Consider the following 14,536-nt stretch of genomic DNA (forward strand, 5'->3'; position numbering starts at 1 on the left):
TTTGCATCTGTGAATCATGAAGTCTCAGCAACCCACAAAGCCCCAGGCTCCTTTCAAAAATATTTGTTGGACACGCCAGGAGATTCTCTATACCAATAAGGGCATGGTTAGAGATGACACTTTGCTGTCACTTTTGTGCTGCCGTCTCTGCATCTAGAAGTTATGCTCCTTGGGTTGCACTTGTGTCAATTAATTAGATATTAATAGCGGAACATATGTGCTGCTCTCCCCTGCTGCCTCTTGGCTTTAAACGGGCTGCTGAGGGTCGGTGAGAGATTACTGATATGTATGAAGACTTTGGAAGGATGTGAGAGGGGAAACATATTATGCTTCCAATAACTTCTAGATGCTTGTTCCCAGCTCCTGCTGCTCTGCTTTGCCAGAAGATGACTCCCTCCTGACCCTGCCTGTCATCATTTTTGTCCTTGAAACTCTCCCAGAAACAATTCATTGAATCAGAGATACTGTGGCTTTCCAGAGGCCTGCCTCTTGTAACATTCTTGAAGATAAATATTTAGGGGAAACAAGAAAGGCCATTAAGACTTTGTTTTCAGGGATATTGAGTTGGGAAAGCTAAAATGTGCCTCAGTACCTGACAGACAATGGGACATCCTCCAGTCCTGTGTTTCCTAATGCTTGCATGCCAAGTACAATCCCTTGAATGCAGCTTCCTAATCAGGGTTTTGAAGTGGAGGGTCTTCTAGGGAAAGACCTAAAGTTCCACTTTTCATTTGTTGTTTTGGCAACCCCTATTGTGATGGTTAGTATTAGGTGTCAACTTGATTGGTTTGCAGGATGCCTAGATAGCTGCTCAAGCATTGTTTCTGGTTGTGTCTGTGAAGGTGTTGCCAGAGGAGATTCACATTTGAGTCAGTGGACTGGGAGAGGAAGACCCACCCTCATTGTGGGTGGGCACCATCCATTCAGGTGCCAGAGTGGCTAGAATAAAACAAGTGTAAGAATGTGGGATACATTGGCTTGCTGAGTCTTCTGGCTTTTATCTTTCTCACATGCTGAATGCTTCCTCTCGTTCCTCCTGCCCTTGGATATCAGACTCGAGGTTCTTCTGTTTTGGACTCTTGGGCTTACACCAGTGTATTGCCAAGGGCTTTTGGCCTTAAGCCACAGACTGAAGGCTGCACTGTCAGCTTCCCTGCTTTTGAGGCTTTTGGACCTGGGCCGAGCCACTACTGGCTGCTTTCTTCCTCAGCTTCTGGACAGCCTATCATGGGACTTCACCTTGTGATTTTGTGAGCTGTTTCTCCATAATAGACTCCCTTTCATATATACGTATACCCTATAAGTCCTGTCCCTCTGGAAAACCCTAACTAATACACCTATTCTGTTTATCTAAAAGTCTAGCTAGTGGTCAGATCACTCACTGTGCACTGCCTATGATTTACCCTGCCTGTTCCAATAGATGACAAATCCTCAGGATGATAGCCTATTCAAAAAAGAGCTATTTTGTCAAAATTTCCAGAAGACTACTTTAAGTCTGCTGCTCATGGCGACTGGGACTGCCTCCTTTCATCACAAGCATACTTTTTCTCTTGCAGTATCTTTGCCCTGAGTAAAGCCTGTCTGCTCCAGTCTAGTCTGGGTGATTCAGATATGAGGACACTGGGAGTCACGTTGGCTGGTTCCGTTTCTGCACCACCTTCGTGAGTTACTTGGGTGAGTCAGTTTTGAGTTCAGTCTTCTGATCTATTAGATGATTGGGTTGGATCAAATGATGTCTCAGGTTCCTTCCAACTTGATTACCTTTGGATCAAAAGAGCTTTTTGAGTTACTTGGTATATTCTCAATAGCTGTTCACTTATTTGTTACACAGAAGGTTCTAGGAAAAGATCTAGGACCATCCCTATTCTTTAAAACCTGATATGTTCAAAAAATGGTGATGAACTACATGTTCATCACCATGATAATTCCTACATTTATACAGAGATAAGTAGTTTTATAAAGTGTGTTCACATTTATTATCTCAAATGGCCTGCTTAGGGCAGGCAAAGCTGGGGTTCAGAAAATTAAGGTGCTTATTCAAGACCTTGAGGCTAGTTGTTTTCATCTGTTTTGTGTTACTATAAAGGAATACCTGGAGCTTGGAATATATAAATAAAATAAGTTTATTTATCTCAGTTTTGTAAGCTCTACAGGTATGGCGCTGACATCTACTTGGCTTCTGGTGAGGGCCTTAGGCTGCTTCTACTCATGGTGGAAGGATAAGGGGAGCCAGTGTGTGTAGATATCCTATGTCAAGAGGGGAAGCAAGAGAGAGAAAGGGGAGGTGCTAAGCCTTTTTTAACAACCAGCTCTCATGGGAACTAATGGAGTAAGAACTCATCACCAAGGAAAGGGCATTAATCTATTCATGAGGGATCTTCCCTTGTGACCAAAACACCTCACATTAGACCCTATCTCCAACATTGGGAATCAAATTTCAACATGATTTTTGGAGGGGTCAAACATCCAAACCATAACACTAGTAAATGAGCTGGGACTAGAATCCACTTTTTCTCACTTGAAGTTTGGCACTCTTTCCACCTCACTGTAATAAAATAGTACTGAAACAATACAAGCCAGAATGCAGTAATATCATCCAAATGGTATAGACTATGCTCTGTGTATGTCTTCTGTAAAGAAGGTAACAAGTGAGTGGAAAAAGGTTACATTTTAGTTTCTCTTAAAAGATATTACAAGTGTCAATACTATTGCCATGGTGAACATTCCTGTTAGTTACATTTCTTAAGTACCATAGTCACCAGTGCAGCATTTATTTTGTTTTTATGAGCTAGACTTTATAGTGCTGGTTGTTTTCCTATTCTGGGCTGGTTTTTCCACCACCAAGGATCTTTGTTTGTATACCATTTTCTTATTTTGGTGCTTGAAAGAAATGATAGGTTACCTTGATAGAGAATGTTGATACCTGTACAAATTAGCTTTTCTCCTACTGTATAGAGGTCATCCTTATCAGAAATCTAATCTATAGCACTCTTCTTTGTTCTAAGAAATGGTATAGAATCAGATTGGCTGGTTTACTATTTAAGTCTCATCAAAGACCAATTGGAAGGATATCTCTTAACTTGGCATGACTAAGCTTACAAGCACTAGAGGGTAGAAATTAATGAGCAATTTATAGTTGTAGAATATTTTTCTTATTAGAATTGACTTCTCTTCTAATATCATTTTTTATTCTGTGCCTTTGTAAATTTTAATTGAATTAAATTTTACCAAAGAAGGACAGTAGCATTTGAGGTATACAGAAATGTTTAATACATTGGGGATGGGAAAAGAGAAAAAAAAACAATAGAGAGCCCAATTAATTTCTTCCCTGTGAACTCCCTATGAACCTTCTACAGTTAAGAGAGCAAACTGTACTCAAAACTCCATTGTTCAGGAAAGAGTCTTTGTTTAAAGAACTAATGCAAATTCCAAGACTTCAGCTTATTGAATTTACTTCAATGGCTTGTGGCCAAAAATTTAATGAGGACTGAAACAGCTGATATCTCCCAGCATTCAACTCTGTACCACCGGGTCTACAGCTGAGAGAGAGAGTTGTCTTAAAGTTCAAGACAGAGTTAATATATTCTGTCTATTTGCAACTTTCATCAGAATGAAGTCACCTTCATAACAATGACTTGTAGCATGAGTTTGTCCTCATTTGCCATTTTTAGCTGAAATTCTGAGTGAAAATAAAGGAAAATAAATCACTCTGTCCTTTTCTTTCTCTTTTTACCTTACAGATTTGGGGACTGCTTTTAAATTTCACAGTGACAGGGATGAGAGCAAAGGAGAAAATATCTTTTTAGTAATTTGCAAAGCTAATTTGAGTGATTAGCTTCATGAATGTTAGAAGAGTAAACCTGGAATTCTTAGTCTCACTGAATAATTAATAAGTAATTCTGAGTGGACCAAACTGAGATGAAGAATGAAAAATGAGAAGGCAAGGAGCACACAGTTCTTAGATCTCCCTGTTTTATCTCTATAAGCAATACACTGCTTTCAACATTTTTCAGTGTCTACCATTTATTGAATATTTAGAAGATAATGCACTACTATGTCATGCTTAGGGTATCTGAAAGACAAAGAGATGTGAATCCCAGTCCTTTCCATGTGGAACAGAGCTAGATTGATACAGAGAAATTAGGTTATTATTAGCCATTGTATGAGTGTGTGCATATGTGTTTATGTGTTTATGTGTATGTATGTATTTATATGTGTGTATGTATGTGTTTATGTGTATGTACGTGTACATATTTTCCTTCTGGGATCTTGACAAGTATCTTGGGAATTACAAATTGTATTATTTTCTCTGGATCAAAAGTGAGTAGGAATATTAGCAATCAGCATCAAACACTTGGATTTCATTTCAGCACAAGAACAGGCAGGAAGCTTCCTACCTTGCTCTTGCCTTACAGAATCTGGATAGGGTAAAATATTGGGCATTAGATAACAATAGGAGATAAACCCGAGATTAGAATGTTACTTGGGATCTTCTAGCTTTTTTCCTAGAGATGTATTTTTTCATGCTGAGCATACAACACTAACTCTAGTCAAATTAATACCAGCTTTTAATCTGAGTTGAAACTCTAGAGATGTTGGCTCTAATATTCACATGTAGAATAGCTGAACCTCAGGCACTGATGCTTTAACAAACAACACAGTTCAGCAGAAATAGACTTTTACTGTATATTATCAAGCAGGTGAATTTAATGTGAAAGTTATTTCCATAATTAAGGCTATTGAGAGTGTCACTGTAATTGTAGATACTTAAAAAAAGTTCCTTTCTAATTATCATCTGAGGGGTATGTGCTCTCAGTGGATTAATGATAGTATTACCCACTGCTGAACTAGACTCAGGATTAAATAGACCTAACATCTGCTGCTGTGACATCTACCCAATGCACTTTATGGTAATATATTGGGTCAGGCCTCTATTGACTTGTCTTTAAAAGCTATGTGTGCTTCAATTAGCTAGAAAGTTCTAGCATAAGTGGACTTAATGCCTGAATTAATGGGAAACCTCTTTCAATTTTCCACTTTATTTTGCAAATAGAAATGGAATTTCAATGCATGGCACAGGGTAAATGCTAAATATTAAGTTTATTGGGGATTTTATTTTAACTTCAAGCATTTCTTTTTTAACATCATAGAATGAAATTGACTAGGATAGAGAATAGTTTTTAAACTTTAAAATTTTCATTGTGGAAACTATAAATTGACTGAGGGAAAATAGGGATTCCTTGGGGAAAGGAGGTGGCTTTTTTGTAAATCAAGGCCATGAAACAGTGCGGCAAATTATCTCTGTACATATAGGTATTGTGAGTCATATTAATTAGAAAGTGGCAGTTTTTGGGGCAGGTAGGTCTGAGTTTGACAGCGTCCTCAGAATAATTATTATATGCAAATCTATTTTTATTAGGTAATAAAATCTATAAAATATTCACTGTTTATTTTTAATTATTACATAAATGATTGTGTTTTTTCCAAAGCAGCAAGCTCAGAATGCAAAGAGCTGAACTTGATAAAGAAGTTAGTCAATTGGCATGAGAATTTCTACCTAGAAAACATATTTTTTCCAATATGAATTTATTTTGATATAACTGGCTCTAATATCCTACTGAGGTTTTATAAGAGATGTTCCAGTGTGTGGCAAGGTAATGAGATAATGGAATCCTTGTGAGGTTTTATATGCTGGAAAGTCTTTTGGGGGTTTCCAGCCCAGCATGTAGGGAGCTTAGAAGTCACCACTTCTTCCTGACAACAAGAGAAACACTCAACAAAATGAGAAATCAACAGCTCTTCTTAGTTTCATCAGAGAAGTGAGGTCACAGGGAAAACCAGTGTCTCCCCAAGTTGGAGAGACAGACAGTCAGATACAGAGGATTACAACTTACCAGAACAGAAACCCACAACCAGGAAATTCCTTCAGAAGCAGTGATGGGGTAGGACAATCTGAACTGCAATTGATGTATTACTAGGGGCTCGGTGTGAACAAGTCTGGACAAGACCCCAGGGCGGGGGCTGAATCATGGGGGACTCTAATTTTTGTGAGTTTCACCTCCAGTAGCTCTACTAGGTCCTCACATAAATATCCCTTTGTACTTCTGTCAGAGGTGTATGAACCAGCACAACTCCATCTTGAATAGGAGCTGGGTAAAATGAGGCTGAAATCTACTGGGCTGCATTCCCAGACGGTTAAGGCATTCTAAGTCACAGGATGAGATAGAAGGACAGCACAAGATACCGGTCATAAAGGTCTTGCTGATAAAACAGGTTGCAGTAAAGAAGATGGCTAAAACCCACCAAAACCAAGACAGCGATGAGAGTGACCTCTGGTCATCCTCACTGCTATACTCCCACCAGCACCATGACAGTTTACAAATGCCATAGCAATGTCAGGAAGGTACCTTATATGGTCCAAAAAGGGGAGGCATGAATAATCCACCCTTTGTTTAGCATATCATCAAGAAACAACCATAAAAAGGGGCAACCAGCAGCTCTCTGGGCTGCTCTGTCTATGGAGTAGCCATTCTTTTATTCCCTTACTTTCTTTATAAACTTGCTTTCGCTTTACGAACTCTCCTTGAATTCTTTCTTGTGTGAGATCCAAGAACCCTCCCTTGGGATCTAGATATGGACTCCTTTCCTATAACACTTCCAGCAGGTGGGAGGGAAAAAGGAATCTTTTTAAAATGTTCCAGAGCACTCTGCTCTTCTTAATAAGGCCTACCCTCAGGAGAAATTATTTTACCAGAGTCTAATTTGCTGGAATTTAATTACAGTGGAATCTACCTGAGATGAGACTCTAGCCATTTTGTCCCACCTAATGGGGAAAAGAGACAGAGAAGCACTGATGAAGTTCACAATACAGAGGCACAGGCTTACCAAAAAAAGGATACCCAATCAGAGTAGAAAACTTCAACTCTCTCCATACCATTAAATACCTATTTATTGGTATTCAACTTGTATTAATACATCACGTTCGGATTTGAAAGAAAAGTTGGAAGGCATATAAAAGGCAGAAACAGTTGGAAGAGACTGAACAAGCATCAAAACCAGCCTCAGATATGGCAGAGGTGTTGGAATTATTAGACTGATAACTTTCAACAACTATAATTAATATGTTAAGGGCTCTAATAGAAAAACATAAACTGGATGTGGCTGAGGCAAGAGTCTCTGAGCTTGAGGATATAACAACAAAAAACTCCAAAACTGAATAGCAGAGGAAAAATAAAACTGAAAAAGAAACCCAAACCCCAAACCAAAAATACCAGAATAGGATATTTAAGAACTGGGAAACAACTACAAAAGGTGTAACATACATACAATGAGAATAACAGAGGAGAAGAAATAAACAGAAGCAATATTTGATGTAATAATTACTGAGAATTTCTCCACATTAATGTCAGACACCAAACCACAGATCTGGAAATCTCAGAGAACACCAAGCAAGATAAATGCCAAAAATGACACATGAGCATATCATATTCATACTTCAGAAAATCGAATATATAAAAGAATCCCAAAAGAAGCCATAGGGAAAAAAATACCTTACCTACAGAGGATCAAAGATAATAATTACATCTGACTTCTCCTTATAAAACATAAAATCAAGAAGAGAGTAGAATGAAGTATTTAAAAGATTGAGGCAAACCCCCCCCCACCAAACTAGGATTCTGTATCCTATGAAAATATCCTTCAAAAGGAAAGGCATAACACTTTCTCATACAAACAAAAATTGAAGAAATTGGTTGCGAGTAGATCTTCCTTGCAAAACATGTTTTTTAAAAAAAGGTCTTCGTAGAGAAGGAAAATGATACAAGTCAGAAACTTGGGTCTACATAAAGGAAAGATGAGTATCACAGAAGGAAATAAGTGAAAAATGAGTCTCAGCCACATGGGACCAAAGAATCTAACTCGTGTTTTGGAATTCTTCCTCCTCCACTTCTTAGATGACTTGGAACTGCAGCCTTTCCTCTTCAGGCTGTCCCTGAACCATGCACCTAGTCACAGTGCTTGCGAACTTGCTCACATCCTTCTGACTGTCAGCTTTGCCCTCACCTCCACAACCCCATGACTTCAACCTGTCCTTAGCTGACATTGGTTTCACCCCTGCCACAATTTCAAAGATAACTGTAGACCTCCAAACTCACAGCAGAATCATTTTATACATGAGCTGCCTGAAATAGATGTCTTTTAAAATTATTTTTGGATGTTTGCACAATCTACTCATGACTGTGATGGCCTATGACCCATTTGTGGCGACCTGTCATCTCTTGTACTACACAGTGATCAGGAATCCCCACCTCTGTGGCCTCCTGCTTCTGGTCTCTCTCTCTCTTTTTTTTTTTTGATCAGTCTTTTGGAAACCCAGCTGTACAGTTTGATGGTGTCACAAGTTCTCTCATGCAAATGTAGACATTCCTCATTTCTTCTGTGACCCTTCTCAGTTTCTCCACCTTTCCTGTTCTGACACTGCCACCAATAACACATTAATGCATTTTATTGGTGCCATCTCTGTGGTCCATTCTCAGGGATCCTTTACTGTTATACTCAAATTATGTTCTCCATACTCATAACCCTATAAAATGTGGGAAGTATAAAGCAAACCTTCTCCACCCATCGCTCTCACCTGTCAGTTGTTTGCTTATTTTATGGAACAGGCCTTGGAGTATACCTTAGTTTGGCTGGCTCACCTTCCCCAAGAACAGGTGTGGTGGCCTCAATGGTATATACCACAGTCACCCTCATGTTGAACCCTGCATTCACAGCCTGAGGAACAGAGACATCAAGAATACCTGGTGGTGGCTCCTCAGCATAACTGCCTGGTATCAATACCTGTGCTATCCTTTATGGAGTGTGGTTAGAAAAAACAGCAAACTCAAATATCTGGAGCCAGAAACGCTGCATGTTTGGTTACATATTTTTTTCAGCTCTTATGGCTTTCAATCCTCTTGTTGTTTCATATCTGGATATTGCTTCTTTTTGTAAATCTTTAATGGGATCAAGAGAGTATTCTGGAATCCTACCTACATTATAATCATGATTGAATCCTATTACAGCTGTAGAGCCCTCTTTATCTCTCCTTTGTGATCCAGACATATGGGATAAATGTACAACTCTCTGTTCTAAGAAATACCATTTTCAGAGCAGTTTTAGGTTCACAGCAAAACTGAGAGGAAGATGTAGAGATTTCCCATATACTCTCACACATGCATAGACTCTCAAATTTTCAACATCCTCCACCAGAGTGGTACATTTGTTACAACTGATGAATCCACATTGACACATCATAATCACCTAAAATCTGGAGTTAGCTGAAGGGTTCATTGTTGGTATTGTACATTCTATGGGTTTGCACAATTGTACAATGATGTGTATCCATCATTCTAGTACATACAGTATTTTCACTACTCTAAAAATCCTCTATGCCCTGCCTGTCCATTCCTCCCCTTTTCCCCACCCCAACTCCTTGTAACCACTGATCTTTTACATCTCCAAAGCCATGTAGTTGTAATCATACAGTATATAATACATATAGTCAGTTGCGTGTAGTAATTTGACCAGCTGGTAGCTTAATAGTCTGTCCCTAGGGGGAGTGGCATAAAGTAAGACAGATGATGAAGAGAGGCAGTTATTTATAAAGCAAATTTCTGGGAAAAAATGGCTAGTCCTCCATAGTTAGATCAGATTGGGGTAAGTATTTCATATGGTTTCTGAGCAGTGGTGGTACCAATCATTGTGAGGAGAACAGTGTGTAGGCTCTGTGACACTTCTGGATTAGGTGAGATCACAGCTAGTAACTGAAGATACAGGAACTGGTTCTAGTTTCAGAGAGGGCATAGATGAAGCTTAAACACATTTCAAATGTCTTCTATTCCCAAGAGTCCATATTACTGGAATTGAGAAAAGGGAACAAATCTGGAGATTCAAAGGTCCTAATGTACATTTAGGCATTTTTTTCCAATCATTAGAGACCTGACCTGCTAGGCTGACCTGGTAGCTAAAGGTCTTCACTACTTGATGGAATTGGAGTGATTAGCATATGCAGATAAAGTAATACTATTAGCTACCATTTGTTATACTCCTACTATGTACCAGTTATCTGTATGTTTTAAGTCTCATAACAATACTGAAAGATGTTTTATTACTTCATTGGACGGTTTATCTTTAAACCGTCCAATGAAGTAATGAAACACCTTTTTCTTTCTGCCTTCAAGAAAAAGAGAGCTATATTTTTAAATTGCTAATGATAAGCTCTCTAGGTATGTGGGACTACTGGAAGAATAAGAAAATGATAGAATAATAGAAGAATAATATTAGAGGAAAAATATAGGAGGAAACAGGGCCTGTGAAGAAGGTAGAGGAAGGAGAGAAAAGATGTACTCTGGGCAAAACAAAGAAGGGCAAAAGCATTTTCACCTTTGGAAAAGAAAATAGGAGATTACCAGAGAAGAGTACTAGTGACCTTGGAGCTAATTCTGAGAGGTTGGTTTGAGAAATGTTTTAAGATTGGGCTGGGAAAACTGGCTAGGCATATGTAGAAAGCTGAAACAGGATCCCTTCCTTATACCTTATACAAAAATTAATTCAAGATGGATTAAAGACTTAAATGTTAGACCTAAAACCATAAAAACCCTAGAAGAAAACCTAGGCAATACCATTCAGGACATAGGCATGGGCAAGGACTTCATGTCTAAAACACCAAAAGCAATGGCAACAAAAGCCAAAATTGACTAATGGGATCTAATTAAACTAAAGCGCTTCTGCACAGCAAAAGAAACCACCATCAGAGTGAAGAGGCAACCTACAGAATGGGAGAAAATTTTTGCAATCTACTCATCTGACAAAGGGCTAATATCCAGCATCTACAATGAACTCAAACAAATTTACAAGAAAAAAACAAACAACCCCATCAAAAAGTGGGAGAAGGATATGAACAGACACTTCTCAAAAGAAGACATTTATGCAGCCAAAAAACACATGAAAAAATGCTCATCATCACTGGCCATCAGAGAAGTGCAAATCAAAACCACAATGAGATACCATCTCACGCCAGTTAGAATGGCGATCATTAAAAAGTCAGGAAACAACAGGTGCTGGAGAGGATGTGGAGAAATAGGGACACTTTTACACTGTTGGTGGGACTGTAAACTAGTTCAACCATTGTGGAAGTCGGTGTGGTGATTCCTCAGGGATCTAGGACTAGAAATACCATTTGACCCAGCCATCCCATTACTGGGTATATACCCAAAGGATTATAAATCATGCTGCTATAAAGACACATGCACACATATGTTTATTGTGGCACTATTCACAATAGCAAAGACTTGGAACCAACCCAAATGTCCAACAATGATAGACTGGATTAAGAAAATGTGGCACATATACACCATGGAATACTATGCAGCCATAAAAAATGATGAGTTCATGTCCTTTGTAGGGACATGGATGAAGCTGGAAACCATCATTCTCAGCAAACTATCGCAAGGACAAAAACCAAACACTGCATGTTCTCACTCATAAGTGGGAATTGAACAATGAGAACACACGGACACAGGAAGGGGAACATCGCACACTGGGGACTGTTGTGGAGTGGGTGGAGGGGGCAGGGATAGCATTAGGAGATATACCTAATGCTAAATGATGAGTTGATGGATACAGCACACCAACATGGCACATGTATACATATGTAACAAACCTGCACGTTGTGCACATGTACCCTAAAACTTAAAGTATAATAATAATATAAAATAAAAAGATTGGGCCCTTTAGAAGCAGAACCTGAGAAGAGGATTCTTATGGAAATATTTAGTGAAGGAGGGCTCTCCAGTAGTGGAACCTGTAAAGAAATGAGGAAAGCAGGGTAGGGCAGAAGAAACTAAGAAAAATATGAGTTCAGGTGAAGTGTAGTCTCATCCTGATTGAAATGGACCTTGGAGCTTGTGTGGCCAGCAGCAACTGGGCTTGCCTATTACGGCATGGTATTATCCACTGGCTATGAGCTACTGGGGGTTGGTGTGTGACTTCCCAGTATCTCCAAGATAGGCAGGGTTCAGAAGTGAGCCATTTGCATCCAATACCCACAGACCAGGCTTATATAAGGGGATCATGTTGAGACACCAATAGCATCTGTTATGGGAAGGGGAGAGCCTGCTGCTTGGGAAGAGTCAAGTGGATGGGCCTGGAAAAGACCACAATAAGAGGCATCAAACAAGTTCTCAGGACCACATGGAAAGCAGGTCTTTACTTGCAGACCTCCTAGTCTTTGATTGAGCACTTCCCATTATCTGTATCTAAGAGCTCTTTCAGCTCTTGCCCTCATGCTGTCTGGTAAGGATCTTATTCAACTGCATCTAGAACTTTGCCTGTTGGTGGACCAGCAGGGCTAGTATCAGTCTGTTCCATAGGAATATACTCAGTGCTCATCACATTGCCCACTGTGGATATCCCTATACTTAGTGTCTAATAAAAACAAAGAATTGATAACTAATGGTATAGAGGTAGGCAGACTCCTTATACTTGTAACTGGGGGAGGTGCTGAATTAAAGCAGCTTAGACAGCCTTTACATTGGAAAGTGATTAACAGTTAGTTCCCTTGTAGTTATTAATAGCTGCTCATGTAGCTCACACTCCTGGAAATGTAAGGCCTCTGGTAAACTGAGTCAGAGAATATGGCTTACCTGTGAGATCATGGAAGTCCTCTTTTTCTCACATTTAATTTAAATCCTAGAACACACATACTGGGACTATTGCCCAGAATTTCAGATTGTTAAAACTAGGTTGAAGAAGAGATGCCAATACTCTTGGCCAAACAGCAGCAGGCCACTAATAGCAGGCCTGTCTCACCACCTCTCACACTCCTGTGTAGGAAGATGGGACTTGGATAAAAAGTTTTTACTCCCAATGGCCCAATGCACAAACCAGAGGAAAGAGAGAGAAAATTGTTCTGTGTTCTGGTCATTGGGTAATGCATCTGAAATCCAGTTCAAAGTGTCATACTTACGGTAATTGGGTTTCTCCTTTTCTGTGAATAAGTAAAGAAGGCAATATAGACTTGGAAATACATCTCGTTAGACTGAAAGGTAGGAAACCTATTTTCTGTTCTTGGTTTTGTCCTTGTGTAACCTTGAGAAAGTCATTGAACTTCTCCGTGCTTCTGCTTCTCCACTGTAACTGTGTAAATGTTTCCTAATCATCTTCCTAAATAAGAAATCAGGATGTGATTATTTTGCAGCCCAATTATTTTACTAATGATAAATGTGCTTGGGATGAGCTCAAAACGGGCCATTCAGGTGGCCTGGTCAAGGTGTTATGGTCATGCTGGGCTGTCATTAGAAGGAAGGAGACAAAGACGACTATGTCAAGTTACTCAATTAGGCAATTGTGTAAAATAATTCAATCCACTCAACTGAGAAAGAAAAATAGTCAACAAATTACTGTCATAGAGATAACTATGTCTAAAATTTGTTTAAGTGGCTTTTCAATTTTTGACTAATTTTCTTGGCAGCAAGCAAACTTTTTGGAAAATATGTTAAAATGCATTTTTATAATCTTTTGAATTCTTAACTTTTCATTTTATGAAAATATTATGAAAATTATATATTTGATTCTGATACTTGATGCTAATAGCAATGATACAACTCCACGTTTCTAAATTACATCTATTTAACTTGACCTCACAGAATTTTACATTTATAACTATCACACAGGTGGTGGGTATGTGGTTTCAGAGACATTAAGATATAAAGCACCTGGGGTGTGTACTAGTATTCACTCTCAAATTAGTTTAACGATTAACAGAAACTGCATATAAACTGTTTTGCTTTTTTATTGTCCTTTTCTTTAATCTGCTAAATTTCTATAAGTATCAAGAGAATATAAACGAGAGAAAAAAATAAGCAAAGGCTCTGGATCAATTACCAATCATCTCTGAATTAATTCTTTTCTTAAGTTAGTTTCTCTTAGACCATTGCCCTTTTTATCCCTCTTTAAGATTCTTGAGGGCTTTCTCCTTCCTGACTTTTGTCCTCAAACATTCTCATGAGGTAGACTTGGGAAGATGGTAACAATTGTATGTAACACTTGTGAAACATTTCTCAGTTCACCAACTCATACATATGGTCCCATTTATTCTTTCAGAAAATTGGTAGATTTGGTAGAATAGGAATTATTACTCCTTATCTAAATATGAAGGAATTGAAAGGCAGTTTTCCATGTGGATCAACCCGTGGCCCAGTGCACATGGATAAATTTGGAAAGTGACACAATAAGGAATGCCCACAAATGCCAATGGGATATTCAGGAAAGGAGTCTGTTTTTGCTGGTTTGCTCTGTTTCATATCCCTTTTTGAGTTGCATTCTCATTTAATATTTTAAATTTATTTCTTAGGAAATATTTGATACTTATAAAACAACAGTATAAAATACATATGAGGATTATGAAGCATAATGATAAGGTGAATTCCCATGAAACCAGCACCCTACATAAGAGTTAGAACAATACTAATAGAATTTTTTATTTATGTGTTACTCT

The 14,536-nt window shown here is 38.6% G+C and overlaps 1 long non-coding RNA gene and 1 pseudogene across 1 annotated transcript in view; both read left to right on the plus strand.

The window, feature by feature from the left end:
• The first annotated feature begins 1,428 nt into the window (after nt 1-1,428).
• LOC112268135 (uncharacterized) overlaps nt 1,429-14,536 on the plus strand; it is a 93,016-nt gene continuing 79,908 nt past the window's right edge. The window contains exon 1 of the long non-coding RNA XR_002957614.1: nt 1,429-1,674. This is a non-coding gene — a long non-coding RNA (uncharacterized LOC112268135). The remainder of the gene's footprint in view (nt 1,675-14,536) is intronic.
• OR7K1P (olfactory receptor family 7 subfamily K member 1 pseudogene) lies at nt 7,899-8,902 on the plus strand (annotated as a pseudogene).

This window comes from Homo sapiens, chromosome 14, assembly GCF_000001405.40.
Source record: "Homo sapiens chromosome 14, GRCh38.p14 Primary Assembly".
In the NCBI taxonomy this organism is placed as follows: domain Eukaryota; kingdom Metazoa; phylum Chordata; class Mammalia; order Primates; family Hominidae; genus Homo; species Homo sapiens.